Below are 26,554 nucleotides of genomic sequence, written 5' to 3'. Positions count from 1 at the left end.
CACTCCAGCCTGGGTGACAGGGAGAGACTGTCTCAAAAAATAAATAAATAAATAAAGACTGTGACAATATCAAAGTCCCCAATAATATTGACTACGACAATATCAAAGTCCCTAACCCTATCTGTAAGTATTTTTTAAGATTGGTTCTTTTTGGGAGGCTTAGGCAGGCAGATCACTTGAGGTCAAGAGTTTGAGACCTGCCTGGGCAACATGGTAAAACCCAATCTCTATTAAAAATACAAAAACTAGCTGGGGGCAGTGGCTCACACCTGTAATCCCAGCACTTTGGGAGGCCAAGGTAGGCGGGTCACAAGGTCAGGAGATTGAGACCACCCTGGCCAACATGGTGAAACTCCATCTCTACTAAAATACAAAAATACAAAAAATTAGCCAGGCCTGGTGGCGCACCTTGTAGTCCCAGCTGCTCGGGAGGCTGAGGCAAGGGAATCGCTTGAACCTGGGAGGCTGAGGTTGCAGTGAGCCGAGACCGTGCCACTGCACTCCAGCCTGGTGTCAGAGCAAGAATCTGACTCAAAAAAAAAAAAAAAAAAAAAAAAATTAGGCCAGGCGCAGTGGCTCATGCCTGTAATCCCAGCACTCTCAGAGGGTGAGGCGGGCAGATCACCTGAGGTCAGCAGTTCGAGACCAGCCTGACCAACAAGGCAAAACCCCGTCTCTACTAAAAATACAAAATTAGGCAGGCATGGTGGCGTGTGTCTGTAATCTCAGCTACTTGGGAGGCTGGGGTAGGAAAATCACTTGAACCCGGGAGTGGGAGGTTGCAGTGAGCCGAGATCAAACCATTGCACTCCAGCCTGGGCAACAGAGCGAGACTCTGTCTCAAAAAAAGAAAAAAAAAATTAGCCGAGCCTAGTGGCGCACATTTGTAATCCCAGCTACTCGGGAGGCTGAGGCGGGAGACTTGCTTGATCCCAGGAGGCAGAGGTTGCAGTGAGCCGAGATGGCACCACTGCACTCCAGCCTGGCCAAGAGTGTGACCCTGTCTCAATGAAATAAAATAAAATAAAATAAAATAAAATAAAATAAAAAATAAAATAAAAATAAAATAAAATAAAATAAAATATGTAAAATTTGAGTTGAAATAGAACGAACTAGCCTACTCCTAAATCCTTAGTGCATGAGCTGCCTCCAAGGATGTTTCAGAAACATGTGAAAGTCACTGCCCTGGATAACTGAATTACCTAAAAAACTGACAAAAAATTGTTTTAAGTATTTCTAGATTTAAGATTCCTAAATGGTATAGAATACTGTGGTTTTTTTTTATTGAGACATTTAACAGCACAATTTCTCTAAGCCTTAGTTTTTCTGAACTGTAAAATGATGACTTTACACTAGAAGATATGAGGGCCTATCAACAGTAAAGTTACGCTATGATGAGGGCTATCATAAAATTAGTGGTGCTGATTTCTGAATTTTGAACACACATACTATGAGAGTATACATTTGCCATGTCCTAAGATCTTAATTTCAAGTTTCTGTTAACATCTTTGCTTTATATTTAAAGTCTACTATAAATTATTAGTCATGTATCTTTTTTCCCGATCACTAGGAACTAGATGGAAATATTTTTTAAAGCATGTCAATTTCTTTATCTTTCCTCAGGGAAGATACGTACCAGAAGAAATGTGTTGAGGAAAAAAATGACAGCTTGGTTTAGGTTTTTTTGTTTTGCCTAAATCTGAAAGGGCATACTGCCTACAGTGAGTTTAGCAGGGAGAAAGTGGGCCAAAATGAGGAAAAGAGAGAGACTACAATATGAATATATTCTAGAAGAATAGAAAAATAATCCAAGCTTCTTATTTTATTATTATTTTTTTAAACGGTGTCTCGCTCTTTTGCTCAGGCTGGAGTGCAGTGGCACAATCTCAGCTCACTGCAACCTCCACCTCCAGGGTTTGAGCGATTCTCCTGCCTCAGCCTCCCGAGCAGCTGGAATCACAGGCACCTGCCACCATGCCCGGCTACTTTTTTTGTATTTTTAGCAGAGACAGGATTTCAACATGTTGGCCAGGCTGGTCTCGAACTCCTGACCTTGGATGATCCCCCATCCCCCCTCGGCCTCCCAAAGTGCTGGGATTATAGGCATGAGCCACTGAGCCTAGCCGCAAGCTTTTGAAGTATAGTAACTTTCTGAGATAAAGAAAATATTCATATTTCTTATAAAAATCATTAAACGTATAATTATTTTGATCCTCTGTTCTGTTTTACCTCCTCTGATTAATTTATTAATTTATTTTGAGACAGAGTCTTGCTCTGTCACCCAGACTGGAGTGCAGTGGTGTGATCTCGGCTCACTGCAACCTTTACCTCCAGGGTTCAAGTATTTCTCCTGCCTCAGCTTCCCGAGTAGCTGGGATTACAGGTGCGGGCCACTACGCCCGGCTAATTTTTTGTATTTTCAGTAGAGATGGGGTTTCACCATGTTGGTTGGCCAGGCTGGTCTCAAACTCCTGACCTCAAGTGATCGGCCTCCCAAACTGCTGGGATTACAGGCGTGAACCACCACGCCCAGCCCTGATTAATTTATTATTTTAAGAATTAGTTATGCCAGACCAGGCACAGTGGCTCAGGCCTATCATTGCAGCACTTTAGGAGGCCGAGGCAGGCAGATCAACTGAGGTCAGGAGTTCAAAACCAGCCTGGCCAACAAGATGAAACCCTGTCTCTACTAAAAATGCAAAAATTAGCTGGGTGTAGTGGTGCATGCCTGTAATCCCAGCTACTCGGGAGGCTGAGGCAGAATCACTTGAACCTGGAGGCGGAGGTTGCAGTGAGCCGAGATCATGCCACTGCACTCCACCCGGGCCAACAGAGCGAGTATCTGTCTCAAAAAAAAAAAAAAAAAAAAAAAAAAAAAAAAAAAAAAGCATTAGTTATACTAGAATAATGAAAGGTAAAATGTTGTAAGTGCATTTTCATGAAACTCAATTGCAAAAAATTCCAAACTAACTTGTCAATTATGAAGAGAATATTTAGAAATCACACTCTCCATCTCTAAGTGCTTGATATAAAGTTCCAACCTCTTTATAATGAGAAAAAAAAAAAGGCAGGAAATGCATTTCTGGATACTTTTTTCCTTTGTGACAGAGTCTTACTATGTTGTCCCGGCTACCTTTGAAATCCTGAGTTCAGGCAACCTTCCCACCTCAGCCTCCAAAGTAGCTGGGGCTATAAGTATGTACAACCATGCCTGGCTTTTCTGTATTCTTTTTCTAAATAACCTAAAATACTGGTAAATCATATTCTGCTGCAAGTGACAGATCTTAGGCACACCTAATCACACCTGTAATTCCAGCACTTTGGGAGGCTGAGGCGAACAGATCAAGAGGTCAAGAGTTCAAGACCAGCCCGACCAACATGGTGAAACCCCGTCTCTACTAAAAATACAAACTAAAGGGCAACCTTTAGTCATACAATCTTTAGGTACACAACAAAGAAAAAGCATCATAAAATCAACAGTTAAGGCCAGGCACAGTGGCTCCTGCCTGTAGTCCTAGTGCTTTGGAAGGCTGAAGTAGGAGGATTACTTGAGTTGTGAACCTTTCAGAATTTAAGCAGAGTTTTGAGGACCACGTAAAGGACGTTGTGAGACTCCGAAAGTGTCATACAATGGTGTCCTTAAGGACCTGAAAAACTTAACAGTTCACCCTATGTACAAATAGCTTATAATTACAGAGCTATGGCTTCTTAGCAGTCAATCCCTAAAGAACAAATGCTTTTTGGGACAGAGTGTGATAGTTTACACCTCTTTATGTTCAAGATGCCTATTTCTTTTCTGATGTTAAATGAAGAATGAAAAACACTGAATTGTAACTGTTGATTTTTCTTTTTTCTTTTTTTTGAGGCAGGGTCTCACTCTGTTGCCCAGGGTAGAGTACACTGGTGTGATCACAGCTCACTTGAAGTCTTGAATTCCTGAGCTCAAGCATTCCTCCTGTCTTAGCCTCCCAGGCAGTTAGGACTTCAGGAAATACCACCATGCCAGGCTAATTTTTTTTTTAATTCTTTTTGTAGAGATGGGGTTTCACTATGTTGACCAGGCTAGTCTCAAACTCCTGGCCTCAAGTGGTTTTGTTAATGTTGTTCTCAAAATTTATCTCAAGTAGTAATTTAGCCATTAAATAAAAATTAAAAGTAAATTTTTTAAATTAAATAAAGTTAAATTTTATACAATATTAAACATGGAGAATCACAGTATACTATAGACAATGATAGATTTCATAGATTTCAGATGCAGCATAGCACACGGTATAAAATAATTACGAAAATGTTAGAAAGTAGATAAAGGAGTTTATTATGGCCAGGTGCAGTGGGTCACGCTTGTAATCCCAGTACTTTGGGAGGCTGAGGCAGGAGGATCACTTGAAGCCAAGAGTTTGAGACAAGCCTGGGTAACATGGTGAGACCTAGTCTCTACAAAAAATACAAAAATTAGCCGAGCATGGTGGTGTGTGCCTGTAGCTCCACCTACTTGGGAGGTTGAGGTGGGAGAAACTCTTGAGCCCGGGAGGTGGAGGCTGCAGTGGGCAGTGTTCACAGCCTGGCTGACAGAGCAAGACTCTTGTCTCAAAAAAAAAAAAAAAAAAAAAAGCCAGGCGCGGTAGCTCATGCCTGTAATTCCAGCACTTTGGGAGGCTGAGGTGGACAAATCAAGAGGTCAGGAGTTCAAGACCAGCCTGACCGACATGGTGAAACCCCGTCTCTACTAAAAATACAAAAATTAGGGCCGGGCACGGTGGCTCATGCCTGTAATCCCAGTACTTTGGGAGGCCAAGGCGGGTGGATCACGAGGTCAGAAGTTCGAGACCAGCCTGGCCAACATGACGAAACTTCATCTCTACTAAAAATACAAAAATTAGTTGGGCATGGTGGTGGGCACCTGTAATCCCAGCTAGTTGGGAGGCTGAGGCAGGAGAATCGCTTGAACCCAGGAGGCAGAGGCTGCAATAAGCCAAGATCATGCCACCGCACTCCAGCTTGGGTGACAAGAAGAGCAAGACTCCGTCTCAAAATAAATAAATAAATAAAAATAAACACACAAAAATTAGCCGGGCATGGTGGCACGCGCCTGTGATTCCAGCTACACCGGAGGCTGAGGCAGGAGAATCGCTTGAAGCCAGGCAGTGGAGGTAGCAGTGAGCTGAGATTGCGCCACTGCACGCCAAGCCTGGGTGACAGAGCAAGACTCTGTATCAGAAAAAATAAATAAATAAATAAAGAGTTTAGAGTTTATTATATTTATTATCTGTCACAGTCCTTCCAAATTCCTGTGCTCAGAAACTGGATTTCTTGCTTTGTAGTATTATACTTTAAAATAAACTTAGGCTCTTTTTTCCCCGTTAACATAATATAGTTTCAACTGTCTTTCCTCCTGGAAAAAGTCAAAGGTGTTTCCTGTTGCATATGCCTTGATACATCTCTCTTTGGGGCATGTCCTTAATTTTAACTCTTCCTATCAAAGAAGAAACCACTCATTTGGCTGAGAAACTCATTGCTTCTGAAAAGGCAAGTCAGAAATCTTTCTTCATTTCAGTCATTTCTGGCAAATGAGAACTAAAGCCAGCTCGAGGTTTAGCCCCTACTAGCTCCCCACCAGCATCAGATGCAACTATGAAGGGAAGCTACTTGTAATCATTTCAACCAAATCCAAAATTCAGAGAATCAAATTCTCTGTTCCACATTCCAACAGGTCCATCATCATGCAGTTTATCTTCCAAATTAAAACGATGATACTCTAAGATCAACATCTCTGCAGACATAGAATCTAAATTGAGCTTTACATTATTAGCAGGAGCAATATTTTAAGTGACAATACTCCCAAATTAAGCTGTGTGGATATAAGTATTTACTAATATATTTCCCCACTGATTCCACAAATGTGTACAAATCTTAACAAAAATGTATACCGTACTAGATAAAAGTCTACTCTGTTTAACAGTAAAAGGAACTTTAAAAATAAATTATTTTATTTCTGAACTAAAAGTACAAATGCTATATAACTACTTCTGTATTCCAAATAAAACATGCTTTTAAAAAACTGCTCTGAAGAATGGAAAAAATTATAAAACAAAACGTATCAACCACTTTTGTGAGGAAACCCATTACTGAAGATTTAAGTAATCATCCTGAATAAACAAACAATAAAGGATGCAAATCTCCCCTCACAAGTCAATTCTTTTGACACAGAATTAAGACTTTATCAAGTAGTTCATTACTGCAGCATATCAGTAATCTAACAATACATTTAGTAAATACATACAGTTCCAGAAAGGACATCATGAGGACAACAGTTGAGAAGGTGACTCTTGCATACTCTGTCATCACTGAATTTGATTCGTTGACGAGTTGTATCTCCTGTAATATAGAAGAGTTAATAACATTCAAGGTTAGACAACTGGAAAGTATTTTCTGAGAGCCCTACTATTACTAGCTTTTTATGTGTGGCTATATACACACATTATAAATCAGCTCAAGAGGGATTAGTTTTTATATACATCCTATAGAAAAACTATTTTAGACAACATGCAGTTGCAGTAAGTGTACTGCATACATAATTCAAATAGTCAAAGTGAGAAAGCAATGCATTCTGTTAAATAGAGTACTTCAGAAAAGCATAGGATTTTAGAGCAGGAATGGACTTTAAAGATTATCGAGTCCAACTCCTTCATATTGCAGATGAGAAAACTGAGGCCCCGAGAGGTTAAGCAACTTGCAGACCCACTAAGAGAGTTTATACTGGTATACAATGTTCCCTTCTTGACACTAAGCATTGATATATTTTTATTTACAGTAATTGAAAAACATAAAAAATAATCTTGCAAACATTGCATACACACTGCGAATCCCCACTGAACCCCAGACGCCATTTCTTCCACTATTTTGTTCCAGCTGAAGTGTCTCCCTTTTGCTGCTGGGAGGAGTTAGAGAGGGTAGAATAACGCGTTTAAGAGCGTACAAACCTGGAAGAAGGACTTACACACCAGTCAAACAAAGGCACATTGCCTAATGAAACGTTAACTTTAATGCGTCCAAAGGTTCCATACCTCCAAGTTTTATGTAGTCTGAGCTTTTTCATACTGCCAAACTGGGTATATTTAAATTCATTCTGTCTTCATATAACACAATACACCTACCTCCTAAGCAACAGAAGCATCCAACCTGCTTATCAAATATGGCTATCTACTCAAAACGTTAAAGAATCTAAGAAAAAGAAAGGTAACTAGCTCCAATAACAAAATATAGATGTTAGTTAAAATTTTTTTGCTTAGAATCTCTTTGGAAAAACAAAAGAAAAAACTCATTAGGATGTTTCCTCTTTCTATATAGAATGATAAGCCCTAAGAAATGTAGGTGTTTTATTTTAGCCTTAAACTGATATATTATCGATGAATGAAAACCTACTGGTGAATTACTGAAGCAAGAACTATTGGTGCCAAAAGAGATATAAATACCTCTGTATTTCACATGATATGCCTGGAGCACTCCAAAAACTTTCGTGTAGGATGTGATTCAATCACTTAGTTTCTGTATTTTCACATGTAAATAACAAAAAAGATTAAAACTTTACCCCTTCATATGGTCATATACTAAAGAGCTTAACTTAAATTCAACTAAACACTATCATTTTTAGATGGGGTAAGATTTTGTTCAAATTGTTTTAACGTGGTTAAAGATATTTTTAAAACATTCTAATTTGCAACCAGGGTATATAAAATTTTAACAACAGTAATTTATAGTTAAAATGATAGCTTCAGAGCAGTTCAACAATAGGTTTTCTAGAAGCTCGTCTCTAGTAGGTTATTTTTGACACAATTTGGAATATTCAGTTTAGTGTTTACGCCTGCTACTATAATAAAAGTTATTTTGATGGTCCTTTTTCCTTTTAAACACAACTGCTTTTGTTCCACATTCATTAACACATCTGAAAAGTTAGCGATAACTCACGGCTTGGCGAATGCGGGGCCTTTCTGACACTCCCTTGCAGATTGAGGTAGGCAGGCATAGATACATTGAACCTTTACAAATAAAACAAGGGGCCAGATTGTTCATTTTGTATAGAATAAACTCTGCCAGCAATTTCAATACAGCATCTAGAAGTACATGTTGACTGTAAAGATTCTTTTATATAAAAACAAAAGTGAACAAAATCAGGGTGTTTCATTTTTTTAAATACTGACTTAACAAGTATAACCCCAGATAATTGTATGACTGACTACAGGTAAAAGTCCAAAGCTGGAGCTCTGGACAATGTCTTTGAGCCAAGTGGGGTTTTAAAAAATTATTTCTTTAAAAAGTATGTTTCATCAAGACTTTGGTGAGGACCTCAAGCTCATGTTAGAATGGTGCTATGATAAACTCATATCAGAATGTCAATGCTATTTAATTAGAAGCTTTTTGCTTCCTACCATTTAAGAAAAAAATTTCATTTTAAATCTGTACCCTAATTATATTAAGCAATTTTAAAATGATAAAATTTTAAAGTTGAAACAAAAACAAAACAAAACAAAAAAATCCCTTATGTATCTAATAAGTCTTCCTGCTAAAAGTATCTAAATGTTTTGGTAATGGCAACAGCAGAATCATTTCAGTGCTTTGTTAAACTAATGGCTCAGGCCTTAGAATAAAATCAGTATTCATGGAGTTTTACTAATCAAACATTTCATCAGGCAGAGTAACTGATTTGTGCTTAACAACTTATATTCAAATATTAAGTTATTGTGCCCTGAAGACACAGCTATCAGTTAAAATATGAACAAATTCCTAATAGGAATATAGCAAACCAGGCAGTATCCCTGGTGAGCTTTTTTGTGTTTTTTAAAATTTTTATGGATACATAATAGTTGTACATATTTTCCCTGGTGAGCTTTTAAGATCAGAATCTGTTTCTATAAATGCCAAAAAACATTTTAAAATAACTCCTCACCGCAAATGAATGGGTGCTCCATAAATATTTGATAACCGTAGCAAACTCAACAAATACAGCTATCAAATAGCAGCCATTATAGAAATCTTTAAAACAATGAAATAATAAAACGCTTAATAATTTGAGATACAGAAATACCTTGAGAGAGAATAGCAACTGACTGTTTATTGATATTTTTAAAGTTCTGCCTTGGGGACTTTAAGGTTTACATTTTAAAACAATCTGGCTGCATAACCATGCAGTACTTAACAAATTTATTTGGGCTTATTCCATGGCAGTACAATTCAGCTAAACCAACAATAATTTTTAAAAGAAAAATGCTGGTAATTTGGTTTCTGTCAAGATATCTGGCCCAAACCATGTTTTTCATAAGAAACTAGGTAAAACAGCACCTATTTTATAAAAAGAAGAAAGAACTGCAAATAGGAACCAAATCACCTTATAATACAAGAAATTATTTTCAATTTAATGTGTTTTATCTTTGGGTTTTGTGGGCATAAAGTCATATAAAAATAACCTATTATGGGGGAAAAAGTATCCTGTCACAATGACATTGGATCCAAATCACAGAATCAAACCTATTAGTGACAACATCTGCTGTGCTAGGCAATGGAATTACAAAGGGGCATATAAGACAAGCTCTCTCCCCTCAAGGAGCCAATGATTTTGCTAAAGAAATAGGACATATTAATTTTTTTAATTTTTTAAATTTTTTTGTAGAGACAGGGTCTCACTATGTTGCCAAGGCTGATCTCCAACTCCTGGCCTCAAATGACCCTCCCACCTCGGCCTCCCAACATGCTGGGATTATAGGCAGGAGCCACTGCACCCGGCCGAGGATATATTAATGGAGTAATAAGTTATAATACAAGATAACATGATCCAAGTATCAAATGTGTGTTTCAATTAGGTAGTACTTCAGGAATTCTTAGACTAAAATTACCACCAAGAATGGAAATATTGGAAAAAGCTTCATGCAATAAGTAGCCAAAATTTGAAGGAAAGACAGGACTTAGATCAAAGTAAAGTAGAAAAAAAAGCACTACAACCTGGAGTAATAGCTTTGACAAAGCTTATAAGAGCAAGAAGGTTTGGGGGAACAGTAAGTAAACCATATCTGGCTTTGGCAAATGGCTTCATGTAGAATTGCAGAGTTGGGAGCAAAACAATACTTTTTGAGTAACATTTGATTTCTTACATTTTTCATTTTTTAATCCAAATTTTTAGTGTATAAAGTAAAAAAAAAAAATTAAAATAATGGAACAGAGATCAGGCGAAGTTACTTCTGTCAACAACAAAAAATATCCCACCTATAAAAACATGGAGATCTCTCTGTCCTATAACCTCTACAATAGTTATTCAGGCCTTGTACTTAACTACACAGCCAAGTTTTTAGAATTAGAAACTTGATTTAGAACTCTAGCAAGTGAGGTGTTTTTCATTTTAATAGAAACATCAACTTTTCTATTAATTCCTATTTCTACCAAATTCTCTACCAAGCAACAACTCTCTTTCCTCCCTCTTTTGTTCAACACCTTCATGAGTTTCATGAATTATAACCTTTGAGAACACCTGAGTCACAAGTATACAATAAAAATGAGGATGCATATTATTCATCTCCAGGTCTGTCACCAATGTATCAGAGCCTAAGGCAGTCAGTTCCACCAGGGAATATAGACAGGTCACTTTAAAAAGAGGCCTCCTCTCTAAATTTTACTCAAATACTGCTATTCTCAAAATCCCCTTCCATATATCAGGAGGGAAAAAATAAGCCCACTGTCATTCCCAACACTGCCATTCTATGGTCCTGCCTTTTCTGAAACTTATATTAACACTTAAATTTTATTAGTAACATTACAACCTTAGCCTAGGTAGTATCTGACATGATTTTATACTTTGCATGCTATCTTCCCAATATCCGCCCCCTCCCCCCAGTACTACCCACCCTCTCCCTCCCATACAAACAAGAAACCAAATCAACTTTCATAGATTTAGGTGCTATTTTAAAAACATCAAAATTTTACTTTACCCATTCTCTCCGATGCTCCCTGTATTTTTTTAAGCTGTGAGTGGATGACCATGCTATGTGATCAACAACTGTGAAGGCTAAGCAAAAGTGAACTGAGTTTAGTATTGTAATTTCAAAAGAACCTTAAAGTTTGTAATATTTGACATATTTAATGGTATGCAGAATCCTATTTCACTGTACATTATCAGGCATTCATGGCAAGCAATTTACAAAAACAATCAGTATTTTGTACAGAATTAGCTTAGAGCTTAGCTTAGGGAAAACAAGGAGGGAGGAGAATGCAACAGCATACAAAGCAATGGAGACACTCCCATGTCTACAAATGGGGGCAGGGGAAGGGAAGCCCTCCCACATTCTCTAGGGTGGCAACTGAAGCCCTCCCCACAGGTATACTAGTTAAGGGTCACGTGTCACAGTGGGCTTGGGACAGGACAGTTTCCTTCCCTCTGAAATAAGATCCATAACCCCTCAGTGAAAGGAAAGCTAGAGCTAGAGAGGTGTACAACCAAAAGCTTAAAGCTTGTTTTCCTGACCCCTTGAATCCCTAAATGCAGAGAAACGTTCCTCCCTCTTTTTCCCTCCATTTCTTCCAACATAAGCTGCTGAGTTCACGTAATAATGTGGGAACTGTATAAAGATCCATGGCCAATTTCTAGTCTAGTCCAGGGCAGGAAGAGATCTAAAGCAGTGCACAAGTAAAACCTTGTGTCACTGGGCACAGTGGCTCATGCCTGTAATCCCAGCACTTTGGGTGGGCAAGGCAGGCAGATCACCTGCGGTCAGGAGTTCAAGGCCAGCCTGGCTAACATGGTGAAACCCCATCACTACTAAAAATATAAAAATTAGCTGGGTGTAGTGGCACAGGTCTGTAATATCAGCTACAGAGGCTGGGGTGGGAGAATCGCTTGAACCTGGGAGTTGGAGGTTGCAGTGAGCTGAGATAGCACCACTGCACTCCAGCCTGGCTCACAGAGCAAGACTCTGTCTCAAACCAAACAAACAAAAAACCCTTGTGTCTTCATGTGGAATCAAAGTAAAAGCGATGATTACTGCTGCACAGTAACTCTTATACTAAGGAGCCAATCTGATCATTTTTACATCTTCCTCAAACTTTCTCACCCACTCTACCAACTTCTCCCACCTACCTTTGTTGTTCCTTTAGAATTCAGCTTAAAATCCACCTATACAAATCCTTTTGTAATTAACCTTTTAAAAAAACATTACTCCCTTGCTACATGTTCCCCTGTTAATATATACACTCAGTTTAACCCACTGTATATTTAAACCATCCAAAGTATAGGGTTCATTTTACAAAAGGACTCATCACCATGTCTTAACATAATAATACAGATGCTTTGAAAACATTTAATATGTCTTGATCTATGTAAAACTTTCCAGGCATATATTTATTACATAAGGAAAGGGAAGAAAGAGTACTATGCCAAAGATGGCAACGGGAAAAAACAATTATGACAGTCTGCCTTCCAAATGTGACATCAAGTCGTTCCTAATAAAACAAAGCAGCTTTCCTTTCCTCCAGAAAATGTAAACACAAGGGTGCTATACAGCTCAGAAAAGCTATCCTTCTTAATCTTCTGGTTCATATGGTCCCATAAGTTTATAATCAGAAATAGGTACCAGTATCACCCCCCACCATAATCCCCATGACAAGCCAAACATTTTTAAAATGTGATGCCCACTGTAGAAGAAATCTCCAGAACAAGTTCATTCTTGCTGGATATGATCAAAGATTAATGTTTTTAAAATGTTAAAAATCTGGCCCACTTGTCTGTGAAAATCCATATCACAAGATTATAAGAATGAAACTGGGGAACAGCCTTGTTAGTAGAAGAAAAACCTTGTAGGATCTTTTGAAGCTAACCAGAATGGTGATGATGAAAATGTGAGAACAGGAATACTAAAGAATCTCCATTCCAAGGCTCTATTCCATGCCCTGCACCTATCTTCTCTCATTATATTAATACAAGCAAAGGGTCTTGGTAGCTGGCAGGGACCAATGCTATCATGTTTTGGGGGGTATGTGCTTTAGGAAATCTATCAGCCTATTCCTCTTCTTAAATTTACAAGAGACATCAGAAAAGCCTGAATAGTTACTTTAACATTAAGTCCTAAAATAGGTTATATAGAATTTATTTTAAGATATATGGCATAAAAAGTTACAGCCTGCTAAATTTTATATTTTGATACTTACTTGCAGAGCTGTAATTCTGACATAGTAACAATTGCACTCTGGATAGCCGGTGCCTTCTATCATCCAGAACTTTCTATATACAAAATTAGAAGTAACGAAAGCTATCTTTGGCTATCAAGCAATAGCTGAAAATAATCAAAGAAAAAGTAACTGGCTGATTTATCTATTAAAAAAGACAAGTTCTCATCAGCTGGTGATAGCTACAGAAGCCAACTAGAGCCTCCCCAAATCCAAAGGAAAAGAAATAAAAAAGAAAAAAAAAGATGAAAATATCAAGGGACAGAGGTGATAGACAACCCAATGATAAAGGAAGAAGTTAAAATGAAAAACAGATCACCATGAAGGAGACGTGAGCCTTAAAACTAAACAACACAGCAGAAATACTGCCTCACAGTGAATATGCAACAAATTTACAAAAAGGGTTGCCTCTGGGGAAAGGACTGAGACGGTGAAGGGGACCACAAAAGACTTTATTTGTAATGCTTTATGCACTTTTTACTTTTTTTTTTTTTTTGAGACGGTGTCTCACTCTGTCGCCCAGGCTGGAGTGCATTGGCACCATGTGGGCTCACAGCAACCTCCGTCTCCTGGGTTCAAACAATTCTCCAACCTCAGCCTCCCGGGTGGCTGGGATTACAGGCACCCACCACCACATCTGGCTAATTTTTATATTTTTAGTAGAGACAGGTTTCACCATGTTGGCCAGGCTGGTCTTGAACTCCTGACCTCAGGTGATCCACCCACCTTGGCCTCCCAAAGTGCTGGGATTACAGGCGTGAGCCACAGTGCCCGGCCTCTTTATCCATTTTTTAAAATTTGACAGAAATATACGAAATAACATTTGTTCAATCATACAGATGCTTGTTTGACCTCTGTACTTTTTAAAACATTTTTTTAAATGCAGACACCTATAATCACTATCACAGAACTTATTACTTAAAAATAAACATTCAAGTGTAATTCTTCATTCCCATTAGATTTTTGGTCAAAAGATGACAGAAGCAAATTATGTCTATAATCTCTAAGAAAAGGAAATAAAGATATAACTAAAGCAACTCTGCAACCTGGGTATCAATCTATTGCTATAAATAATTACTATACCCTAAAGCACATCAACCAATAAATATACAGAACACCATGTGCAGGGAAGCACTCCCTCTAACACAATGGAGTAAATTAAATTGTAACAGGAAGTTTTCAAAATATTTATACATGGTGTCCAGACTCACGTGAATCGACTGCTTAGTCCTAGCAACATGCCCTGCCGCTCTGCTCCCGTCCATAATGCAGGCTCACAGCCACTTTCCCTAGCATTTCTATCAGGCCTCTCTTTGATAAGCAGCTTTTCCCACAGCCAGGTACCTCTTCACATTCCCACTGTGGAACCAGTTGGTGAAATCCTGCAGAAACACTGACCCCCGTGGACCAAAGCACTAACGGAGAGGTGAGAAATTGAGCTAAATGAGGTAATTTCATCCTGGAGGTCTTGATGGACCTCTCTAGGGATCTCCTAGATCTCTCTGTCTCACAGGCTTGTATTTCTGTCCAGTCATTTCTGCTTACAGGCTTAGGTATATATATAGTTCAAACAGCTTTCCTTTCACATGAATACTCCCTGGAACAGTAATTTCCAAAGTATGAGATTTGCACAAAAGATGACTTTAGGTGTTACATGATTTTGCCAACAAGACATTTTAAATACCACTCAGTAAGGAAATTATTAATCACAATTAAGTCAAGAAAAAAAGTTCCCATTTTGCAACAGTACTTGTTTAATAAATTTAACAACTTCTAATTTTTAGCACAGGAACCCTAAGTGACAAGAGTCTAGTTACATAATACACCATTTTGTTTTCATTGTATTTATTTTTATGGTGGTATAAACTTTCATTTTAAAATTAACTTAAAATTTTTAGAAAGTGAGTTGACATAAAGGAAAATATTAAATAAACAGAAAACAGTAAATAATAATAAAGGCAAGGCCAGGCATGGTGGTTCACGCCTGTAATACCAGCACTTTGGGAGGCCAAGGCAGGTAGATCACTTGAGGTCAGGAGTTTGAGACCAGCCTGGCCAACATGGCAAAACCTCATCTCTACTAAAAATACAAAAATTAGCAGGGCATGACAGTGCATGCCTGTCATCTCAGCCACTCGGGAAGCTAGGGTAATCGCCTGAACTCGAGAGGCGGAGGTTGCAGTGAGCCAAGATCAGGCCACTGCATTTCACGCCTGGGAGACAGAGACTCTGTCTCCAAAAAATAAAAAATAAAAATAAATAATAATAAAGGCAATAAGTGTGACAAACATTTGGGAAACACTGATCTAGAAGAGGGTTTCTCAAACTTTTAATGTGTATCAGAATCACCTGGAAGGTTTCTAAAAACATGGATTGCTGGGGCCCATATCCAGAATTTCTGACTCAGTAGGTGGGTCCAAGAATTTATATTTCTAACAATACGACGTGATGCTGAGGTGATGCTGAATTGCTGCTCCAAGGACCACACTTGGTTTAGAATAACTAAACCAGAATGGTGATCAACAAGCTTTTGTTAGAGTCAAATGGTAAATGTTTTCGGTTTGCGGGCCATATGACTCTGTTGCAACCATTCAGCTCTGCTGTCGTAAGCCAAAGCAGCCATAGACATCATGTATATGAATCGGCATGGATGTGTTCCAATAAAACTTTATTTACCAAAAGCAGGAGGCCATAGTGCCAGTCCCTGATCTAAAACATACCTTCAAGTAACTTTAACTATTAAACTATTAAAGTTACTTTAAGAGAAAAGTCTACCATTTAAACTAATACTAGAGCACAGTACAGAACAGAACAGCCAGGTATATTATAGATACTATCCAATAATTATCAGTTAACTCTAAAAGAGAAAACTGGGGTCTGCAGAAATCTAAGGTATTAAGATTAAAAACAAAAACCATTTACCATATTCAGGAGACAAGATTCAGCAAGGGCAGCTGGTTAAATTCCTTTCATGTTGAGTCAAATAAGTCAAACATCAGTTGTACATGGTTCACAACTATACTGGAACATATGGGTCAATACTGAGTGCTTTTTGGAAAGAAGTTTTAAAGATTCTTTTCTATGCTAATAGCAAAATATGACATTTATTCAGCTGAATGGACTTCATGTTACTTTCTGACGGCTTTGACTTCTCAAAGTCCTAAGTTATTCAGTTCAAACAAAAACATGGAGCTGCAGATGATTTCAGAGTTTTCACAAATTAATTTCTCTATATCCTCAATAATCTTGCAAAACTGAACAACTGACCTATTTTGGCCCTGCCTTCCAATATCTATTCTAGCAGCTGCTAGTGCATGAGAACCTAAACAAAAAGGAAACAGAATAGCTTTTCTGCAAGTTTTGAATTCACAAGATTCCCTCTTCACTCCCTCATTCTTTTTCCAGTAAGATGTTCCAACTTCCTTCACCTTCTTATAGTTTCTTAGTAGATTAAGTTATGCCAAACTGCTTGTTTCCTCAAGAACTCTACATACTAACAGCAGTAGGCTTTAAGAATTCAGTCCTTTTCAAGCACCTTTCTGGAATTCCATCTTTGGGGAGTATCTGCCTCATTTAACTAGTCTTGCCCACTTATTGACCTTTAGTTTTAAACCATCTGCCTGTCTTCTCAACCCTCCTGCTTGCTGAACTCACAGCAACTTTAAGCTTCAATGCTTTGTATGAACCACCTGTTACTGAAGAGTACCTGATTCACTAAACCTGACCTTGATCCATGACACCTCATGGCCATTGAATTCCTACTACCCATCTTGAACACGTTGAACACTACCATCTATCCTTATATGACAACATCCAACCTAAACGAAAATAAAAGAATTTACTTGCTCCTTATAGAACTGATGCAGAAATAGACAAAATGATTTTTCTTTGTTTTGCTTATATTTACCTGAAGTAAAAGAATGTCTCAGAAGCATATGCTTACTTGAGGAGAACTAAACAACTGTAGAGAATCCAGGAACGATGCAATGTTATATGAAGTGATACTTTTATTGTTTTCTGGGCTGCTGTGTAGATAGAAATATTATTCAGAGTTCAAAATGCAAAATGAGGAAAACTTTTCTTTTTTCATTGATTCACTATGCAGGTGCTTTCAGTGTTTTGGATATGCCTGAAACTCTGATAAAGTTAAATAGTTAACTGAAACGCAGAGAAACTACTGTTTAATCCTATAAAACTCCTTATATTAAAGAATTTACAAGCTCTAGACTAAGAAATATCCTGTTATTATTTAAAAAATGTCTGCGTATACATTAAAGGCTCCGCCTCCTTCACTTAAAATGAACAATCCAAGTGGAATAAAAGAATGGCTCACAACTGACCAAGAAATGAATATGGTTCATTATGTTAATGAGAAAAAATTAAGAGAAAATGTTTTCAATGTTGATGAAAAGTCAAGGAACACAGATTACAGTAAAGATGATTTTATAAATAAAATCCATTAAAGAACGCACTACTTCAAACTTTGATTCAGTAATTTTGCAGAAAGGCAGAAATGTCATACTATCTTACAGATTACACGGTTATGTACTACTAACCTTACATTAGCAACAAGTAAATGGCTTTCTTAACAGTATTTTCCTGGGTATGAGGATGAGTATCCTTTCAGTTTTATATCCCACAAACTATAACTACTGTACAACTGATCAGCAAAAATATTATGATTAATATGTTAACTGAGGAAGTATATCCTACAATTTAGAAAGATTAACATTTAAAATAGTTAAAATTATTGAAAGTTTTAACTTGCCCGAAACAGTCCCTAACCATAAGGGACAATTAATGATGCTATAAAATTCTATCTAACATTCCTAGTCTACTTGTTGTTTTGGAGGGCAGGCTGCCATTCCTGCCTATTTTAATCTTTCGAAGGTGGTCTCTGCTCCCATTTAAAGGTATAAGCAATTAAGAGATACAGAACCCTCAGAACTACCTTCTATAACTTACCTAATTTCTAAGCTTAAAATGTAATCTAGGCTGGGCATGGTGGATCACCCGAGGTCAGGAGTTCGAGACCATCCTGGCCAACATGGAGAAACCCCATCTCTACTAAAAATACAAAAATTAGCCAGACGTAGTGGCAGCCACCTGTAATCCCAGCTACTCGGGAGGCTGAGGCAGGAGAATCACTCGAACCCAGGAGGTGGAGGTTGTAGCAGTGAGCCGAGATCGTGCCACTGCACTCCAGCCTGGGCAACAGAGACCCTGTCTCAAAAAAAAAAAAAAAAAAAAAAAAAAAGGATGTAATCTAAATCCACACCCTCAATTTTATTTAATTCTTATTGCTTGCATCTTCCCAGACTTTCCTGGGATCAAGACTAGAGACTTATGACCAAACTGTGTTTGTTGGCAAAGGGGCTTTAGCTAAGGAACATCCTTGCAATTAATCCAACTGAGCAAAAATCACAGTCTGTGTGAGGGTACTGGGTTCTTCCAACTGTCACACAGACAATTCTCAAACTGTTTCTTGGATTTTCCTGTGCAACTCCTCCCTGCTTTCAAATAGAATGAATATGTTCAGGGAAAACAAATTATCCCTCTCCCCTCTGCTAACAACTAAAACAGAAAGATATTTATAAAACGTAATGAATCATAAACAAGATAAAATAAACTAGTAATTACTATCTACTTATAGCTCCTTTCTAAAAAAACTTAAAATATATTTATTTTTCAACATTTCTGAGTATAACATAGGAAATTATTTGGTTTCCCATATAACAAATTACAGATTTAACTTGAGGCAAAAAAGGTTAAGTGACTTACCCAAGGTTACAATTAGAGGTACAGCTGGGGCTAGAAACCAGGTCTCCTGAGTCTCAGCCCAGTGCTCTTTTCCTTAGCCCATGATGCCTTATCAGAAAAATCCAAATACAGTCAGACCCCCAGTTATATGGGTATGAGTTACACTGATTCACATATACAAACTTTATATAGTGTGACCAATGTTTCAACTCACGCGGTACCCTGCTTCCATTTATGCAGTATGCCAGGCATCGGCACGATTTTCAGTGGCACACAGGCGGTTGCCACCACCAGGGCCCTAGGCAAAATTGCAAAGAAGGCAGAGTTTGTCTTTGGCCCTCCCACCTCCCTTATGCATTTCTCTCCCACCTCCTGGCAGTCCCCCTGCCCAGCCTCCCGGCACCATCATGCTGCCCTCAGATTGTCTAAAGCCCCCAACTTCCACCACTCACCCAGGAATGTCCTTTCTTGAAGTGCCCAGTGATCCAAAATTACCTCTCCATTTCCCTGCTAACAAAATTCCTACTCCTAAGGATTCCAGTGAAGTTTAGGTAATCTAAATGATTAACTACTTTATGTAATTCAAGTTAAGGTATATTTAACTAACAGACTTAAATCTCCAATGAATTTTAAAAGGAACTAATTAAAAACTGTCAGGAAGGGGAGGGGGAAGAAACCTTGAGGGGGTGAGGAGGTAATGTTTTCCCAAAGCCCCAGGACTCTGTGCCACTTCAGATTCCTTCACAGACAGGACACTAAGAGTGGAGGGGGTCACTGCCACCTTGAACCCCACTTCCAAAAAAGAGAGTCGCTGCTTTATAGTCTCTGGAATTAAAAAAAAAAAAAAAAAAGGACAGAGTTGCCTTAAATACCCTCCTACCTACCTTTTCCATCTCTCTCCCACCTCCTGGATACCCATTTCCACCTCTTAGTGCCAAAGACACCCAACAGCGTTCCCATAGGCTGTTTGTGTGTCCAATACAAGGGTTCCCATTAAATGGTTTCAAATTACATGGTGTTATTCAGGGGACGTTTCCATGTTCCCCTATCCCTGGGTAACTTGAAGTTGACTGTATGCTAAAAAAGAACAATCCTAATTATTAAAAGTCCTGAATCATAAAATGATATATATAAACTCATTAAATGGTAAGAAAAAAAAGAATGTTCTGATTATTTTGCATATATAGAATTAATTTTGATATCTAAAAAAAACTCCACTCAATTATTTTTCCTTGAAAGTAGTATATTTTTTACTTCTAACCCAATACAGCAGTGAAAATCCAGTCATTTCAGCTAAACAATACTGTGGACTCGTAAATATGAGTTCGATCATAAATCCTCTAAGTCTGAAGGTTAAAAAAAAAAATCCAGTAACAGACACATAAAAAAATACACAAAGTGGATTTTAAGAAATCCATGTTTCTGCTGACTACACACACAGAAATATATATATTTAAATTTAGCTTTGCAATACTAGACGGGCTGCCTAATTCAGAAACTTATCAGGAGATGGTTTACCTTGATCCAACTACCCTCCCAGTAAAACTAAGAAATCCAATCCATGAAGAAGATCCCAAAAATGGTATCCATCAAGGATTAAAAGGATCATGTAAAGCACGTCTTAAATAACTTAATTTTATTACACAGATTAGTTATTCTGTTAGCTAGGATCCAATGAAACCCGTTCCCAATACCCTCTCTCATGTTGGAAAAGGAGGAATGTTAAGACATGCTGCAGTGATAAAGTAACCATTCTTATCTAAACGTGAGAAATGATAACAGTTAAAAGTTTCTCCAGTGGCATTTTAAGTTAATGTTAACTTTCCATACAAAACTCATTTCCTTCCCAATCTTTCCTCTCTACACAACCACAAGTAGGTTTGCCATCTACACCTATTTGTCTATATATTCTACAAATAAAAGTTCCCAATATGGGTTTTTATTAAAACTGAAAATGTGAACACTGAAAAGCCACTCTACGCACTGCTGAAAGATTTGAATGCAATAAAATTTTTAAAATTTACTCATATTTTGCTGTAAAGCACTCATGTAAATTAAAAGAGTAACTTAAAAACTAAATTTAAGACGTGCCTTTTCTCTTAAATCAATACACTTAAATAACTTCTCAAGAAAAAAAGCATTTCCTTAGTGGCTAAGAAACTATCTGCCTAAAGAAGCAACACATAAAAACTACCAAGGATTTTGCTGTGTTAAGAAAGTAATGAACTAGACCTTTCCTACATATTTGAATGTATTTAAGTTGAATTTGAGAGTACATTACTAATTAACATCACCAAAAAAGCAACAGCATTTCATCATTTTATTTAGAAATTCTCTTTATGACAAAGGATAATCCAGCAATTAAGGGCTCTCTATACAGATTCTAAACTAAACGCCTGAAAGGATCTTTGTTCTCCTCTATTCTACTTCACTGGGTACCAAATTTTCAAAATCGTTCTGTTAGGGACATGCAACATTTGTCAATATTTACTGAACAAAGCCTCTATTAAATTGTCTAACAAAATGGAGGTCTCTCGGAAAAACAGGCCATAACATGTTCCTTCTCACAAAATGGGGCCAAACACACCCACTTAAGAAACCATGGTTTGGGTCAGATTTTCCATAAAAATGGTTGTTTCTGTGGGGCTCGAGGGTGCATCTCTGAGACTGGGTTAGTAATAAAGGTTTCCTCCTGACCCAGGAAGAGGAGGGGGAAGCTTCTCTCTAGGTACTCTGGAGGACGGCGGCGAGGGATGATCCCAAAGCTCTGGGTTAAGGAATTATATCGGGGGTGGAGGCCTTAGCTTTCCGCAGGTACCTAACCAGCGACAAAACGGGCCCCCCAACTACGCAACAGAGACGCGGGCTCTCCCGTCTCAGCCAAGTCAACATTAAAAGCACAAACTCTCCTTTCTGCCTCCAGGCCCCGCCTCACCCCATTGGCAGCAGTTCCCGCCAATCCGCATGGTCACCGCCCCCCCTGCCCGCCTGCCGAGCCCTGATTGGATGGGACGGGGGACGGGGACCTCGTGTTACCAATCTGGGAGCCCCTTACTCAGCCACACGCGCGCGCCCAGGTGCGCCCTCGGAACCCCTTCCCTTCGCCGTCCCCGTCCCCTCCCCCACCCCCAGGGCCCTGGCAGAGACTTACCGTCCCGGGAGGTGCCCATCAACTGGTCCAGCATCGCGCGCATCTGGGCCTGCGCCGACATGGCGGCGGCGTAGCGGGCGGACGGGCGGGGGTGGGGCGCAGACCGGGCCCTTTTGGGCTGGGGGATAAGGGGAAGGGATGGGGGAAGGTGCGCTGCTGTCTCGGTGGCCGCCGCCGCCTCGAGGCGTGCGGAAAGGGAGCCGGAGGGGTTGCGGGAAGAGTCCGGACTGCGCTCCTCACGACGACGTGTACGTGGAAGACGACAGCCCCCGACAGCGACCCTCGTGCCCTCACTCTCCGTCCGGTTCTTGGGACAGAAGCGACACGGGCCAAGCAAGCTCTCGCCTTCAACACCGCCACCCGCCAGAAGCCGTCAACCCCCCCTCAAGCTCTGACGCCGCTCGCCGCCACCGTCGCCACGACGGGAGCGCGCACGCTCCTCGCGCTCAGTCGTTTCCCGCGGGGGCTCCACCAACTGGCGTCCAGCTGTATCACTCCGCCCGCCCCGCCCGAGTGGAGTTCCACCCTAACGGCTCTGGGCGCGTGCACGCGCGCTCCTCCCGCCCCTTTACCCCGGATCTCGCGATACTCTGGTTCCTTAACTGACTGTGCAAGCCGGATCCGCCCCGAGGCGCCAAACCTTACATTACATTCCCTCCCGGCTGTAGGGCTGGCGGCTAAGGCTGCGCTGCCCGCGGTGATGGCGATTCAGACCCAAATTAGCAAAATGCGCTAGAGGTTAGCCTGGGCGGAAAGTAAGTAGAGACCATGCCCATCGTCGACCGGACTGCGGTCAGCCTCCTTGGCGTCTGAGGTGGGCGTGCTCGGGGCGAACGCCCGCCCCGAGTGGCGTGGACGCGTCCTGGTTCTCGTGCGCCTTTCCCGGCCGGGAGCAGGCCTGTCTCGCCGCCGCCGGGGCCGCGTTCCTTCCGCTGCGTGGGGCTTTAAGGCTCCTCGGCTGGGAAGTGTCAACTTCAGGAGAAAGCGCCCGAAAGCAGTACCCTAGGAAACAGGCGCGCCGACCCATTCGGATTCATCTTTACCTACAAGGTCGCGGGCGGCTTAGTCTGAATGTGAAACCATAAAAACTCAGCGTATTCTCAGCTACTGGGGAGGCGATCTCGGGGAGCAGGGAGCCAGCGGCGCTGGCCGCAGGGAAGCCTGGATTCTGAAGCCCGGCCCGTGACTGGGGCCTTGGCTTCAGTTCTACCCCTCGTAGGGCTGGTGGAGGTGGTCACACGTCTGCTATGGCGTGGCTGTTAGAACAAACTGGAATAAAATACTTAGCCCTGAGCCTTTCCCTGGTGTTTCTAAAAACTGTTTTAGTAAAATATTAATTCCTTGCCGGGCGCGGTGGCTCACGCCTGTAAACCCCGCACTTTGGGAGGCCAAGGGAGGTGGATTGCCTGAGGTCAGGAGTTCAAGATCAGCCTGGCCAACATGGTGAAACCCTGTCTCTACTAAAAATATAAAAATTAGCCGGGCGTGATGGCGGGCGCCTCCCCAGCTACTCGGGAGGCTGAGGCAGGAGAATCGTTTGAACCCGGGAGACGGAGGTTGCAGTGAGTCGAGATGACGCCACTGCGCTGCAACCTGCGCGACAGAGCGAGACTTCTAAAAAAAAAAATTCCTTAAGTAAGACATAGGTCAGTGTGCAGGAAGAAAGGTTGCTTAAAAAGAAATCTAAAACTGTAAGAAAAATGAATGAGTTAATAAAACCAAATGTTTAAGAAGACAGGCACTTTCTAGATACTTTGAAAGGACATAATAGAGATTTGTGTTCCATTAACACTGTATATTCATCGCCTAAAAAGAAATTTAAAACTGTAAGAAGAATGAGTTAATAAAATCAAATGTTTAAGAAGACAGGCACTTCCTGGATACTTTGAAAGGAAATAATAGAGATTTGTGTTCCATTAACACTGTATACTCATCGCCTTGGAACTGTTATTAGCAGATCAATAAAAAACATGAATAGTAGTAATAGTCCCAAAATTCCTTTAAATGTATATTGCGGCTGGGAGGGATGGCTCATGCCTGTAATCCCAGTACTTTGGGAGGCAGAGGCGGGCGGATCACCTTGAGGTCAGGAGTTCGAGACCAGCCTGACCAACATGGTGAAATTCCATCTCTACTAAAAATACAAAAATTAGCCGGGCATGGATGCGCGTGCCTGTAATCCCAGCTACTCGGAGGCTGAGGCAGGAGAATCACTTGAACCCGGGAAGTGGAGGTTGCAGTAAGCCGAGATTATGCCACTGCACTCCAGGCTGGGTACAAAGCAAGACTCTATCTCAAAAATAAATGCGTATTGGGCCAATGAAAATTTTTGAGGTCGGACGCAGTGGCTCACACCTGGAATCCCAGCACTTTGGGAGGCCGAGGCGGGCGAATCACGAGGTCGGGAGTTTGAGACCAGCCTGCCAACATGGTGAAACCCTGTCTCTACTAAAAATAGAAAAAATGAGCTGGGCGTGGTGGCGCATGCCTGTAGTCCCAGCTACACCGGAGGCTGAGGCAGGAGAACCGCTTGAACCCAAGAGGCGGAGGTTGCAGTGAGCCGAGATCGCGCCATTGCACTCCAGCCCTGGTGAGTGTGAGACTCCATCTCAAAAAAAAAAAAAAAATTATTTTGAATCAAGTTATCTTTAGTAATACACAAAATAGCTTCTCTTCAGTTATTCAGAGAACTCTGAATTCCAAACTCCAAATACTAGGATATCCTTTGGGAACTGATTTATAATAATAGAAAAATGTGCAAATTAATATGTCTTTGAGGGATACACTATTATGTACACAATGTGATCTGACCCTGAAAAACAGTGTATTTAAAGAAATACACTAAAACCAATAATTATGTTTTGTTGAAGAGATTTGAGTTCTTTTTTTTATTTTAGATGTCTTATAAACAGCATATAATTGGGGCTTAAAAATAGTCTATACAATACATAATGATCAAAATTGAGGAGTGAAATTGAGGAGTGAATTAAGTGATGTTCACTCTTGGAAGCATTGATGATTTATATTCATGTAATTACTCCTGTGTTTGGGTTTAAAACTCTTATTTTTGCCTATTTGTCTCATCTATTTCATGTTTTTCTCTCCTTTCCTGCCTGATTTTTAATCATTCCAATTTCTTCCACTCTAGTAGTGTGGAAGTTTCATTTTATTATATTTTTATTCTTTCAGTGATTACCCTAGAAGTTATAATGTGTATCCTTAAGGTATCAAAGTCTAATTTAATCAATACCTTTATACTCCCCTCCCCCAAGAGAGGTAATACAAGGAACCTAGAACACTAACTCCATTTACTCTCATCCCAAGTTATATGCTCTTGTTACCAGGTCTTTTAGTTCTCTTATTTTTTAAAACCAAGTTTTATATAATCAATGTTCTTTATTTACCACTTATTTTGCTCTTCATTCCTTCGGAAATCTCTGCCTGTCCATCTGGGATCATTTCCTTTTTGTCTGAAGTTTATCCTTTAGCACAGGAGTCAGCAAGCTACGGTCCACAGGCCAAATGCAGCCCACGGCCTATTTTTGTGAATAAAGTTTCACAAAAATTCGAATACTGCCAGGCTCGTTCATTTACATATTGTTGTGGTTGCTTTTGCCCCACAATAGAGTTGGGTGGTTTGTGAGGGATCCCATACTGTGTGGCCTACAACACTCAAATATTTACTATCTGACTTTTTTTTTTTTTTTAACGCAGGTTTTCACCATGTTGGCCAGGCTGGTCTCAAACTCCTGACCTTAAGTGATCCACCTGCCTCGGCCTCCCAAAGTGCTGAGATTACCAGGGTGAGCCACTGTGCCCAGCCTGACTATGAAGTTTGCCTACCTTGCTTCAGGGTTTGTTTTTGTGTTGGTCGGCTAGTTGGGGGAACGCTCCCATTTTGTTTATCTAAAAAGATCTTTATTTTGCTTTAAATTCTAAATGGATATTTTTATTAGCTAAATCCTAGGTTGGAGGTTCCTTTTTTTTTTTTTTTTTTTTTTTTTTTTTGAGATAGGGTCTTGCTCTGTCACCCAGGCTGGAGTGCAGTGGCGAGATCTCGCCTTGGCTCACTGCAGCCTTGGCTTCCCGGGCTCAAGTGATCCTCCCACCTCAGCCTCTCAAGTAGCTGGGACTGCAGGTATGCACCACCACACTGAGCTAATTTTTAAAATTTTTCTTGTAGAGACAAGGTCTCCCTATGTTGCCCAGGCTGGTCTCAAACTCCTGGGCTCAAGCAATCTGCCCACCTCAGCCTCCTGAAGTGCTGGAATTACAGGTGTGAGCCACCACGCCCAGTGGTTATTTTCTTTGGGCACATACATTCTACCTAACCTTTTACCTTCCACTGCTCCTAAGAAGTCAGTTCTGTTTTTCACTCTTTTAAAGATAGCTGGCTACTTTATCATGCCATTATGGACTCATTGAACAATGAGTTTTCAT

The 26,554-nt window shown here is 40.1% G+C and overlaps 2 protein-coding genes across 4 annotated transcripts in view, besides 3 other annotated features; both read right to left on the bottom strand.

The window, feature by feature from the left end:
* LUC7L2 (LUC7 like 2, pre-mRNA splicing factor) overlaps window positions 1-26,554 on the bottom strand; it is an 82,983-nt gene that overhangs the window by 41,018 nt on the left and 15,411 nt on the right. The window contains exons 1-3 of one of the 3 annotated variants that reach the window (NM_001270643.2): window positions 22,115-22,543; window positions 7,966-8,036; window positions 6,281-6,375 (exon numbers count right to left, since the gene is read on the bottom strand). In NM_001270643.2, the coding sequence (NP_001257572.1) occupies window positions 6,281-6,375; window positions 7,966-8,023 (153 nt within the window). In that variant the 5' untranslated portion in view covers window positions 8,024-8,036; window positions 22,115-22,543. Of the gene's footprint in view, window positions 1-6,280; window positions 6,376-7,965; window positions 8,037-10,973; window positions 11,051-22,114; window positions 22,544-26,554 lie in introns of those variants that run through there. The other 2 variants (NM_001244585.2, NM_016019.5) reach the window with 2 other exon arrangements.
* FMC1-LUC7L2 (FMC1-LUC7L2 readthrough) overlaps window positions 1-26,554 on the bottom strand; it is an 82,118-nt gene that overhangs the window by 41,018 nt on the left and 14,546 nt on the right. Inside the window, exon 3 of the mRNA NM_001244584.3 lies at window positions 6,281-6,375. Coding sequence (NP_001231513.1) covers window positions 6,281-6,375 — 95 coding nt within the window. The remainder of the gene's footprint in view (window positions 1-6,280; window positions 6,376-26,554) is intronic.
* Window positions 21,849-22,278: a silencer, noted in NCBI's record as "silent region_18695". NCBI's record gives its function as "represses an Ori minimal core promoter by ATAC-STARR-seq in GM12878 lymphoblastoid cells {active_cell/tissue: GM12878}" and the evidence as "EXISTENCE:reporter gene assay evidence [ECO:0000049][PMID:35858748]".
* Window positions 22,509-22,558: an enhancer, noted in NCBI's record as "active region_26760". NCBI's record gives its function as "activates an Ori minimal core promoter by ATAC-STARR-seq in GM12878 lymphoblastoid cells {active_cell/tissue: GM12878}" and the evidence as "EXISTENCE:reporter gene assay evidence [ECO:0000049][PMID:35858748]".
* Window positions 23,279-23,408: an enhancer, noted in NCBI's record as "active region_26759". NCBI's record gives its function as "activates an Ori minimal core promoter by ATAC-STARR-seq in GM12878 lymphoblastoid cells {active_cell/tissue: GM12878}" and the evidence as "EXISTENCE:reporter gene assay evidence [ECO:0000049][PMID:35858748]".

The sequence above is a fragment of the Homo sapiens genome, chromosome 7, assembly GCF_000001405.40.
Source record: "Homo sapiens chromosome 7, GRCh38.p14 Primary Assembly".
Classification (NCBI taxonomy): domain Eukaryota; kingdom Metazoa; phylum Chordata; class Mammalia; order Primates; family Hominidae; genus Homo; species Homo sapiens.
This window is presented reverse-complemented; position numbering and strand designations above follow the sequence as displayed.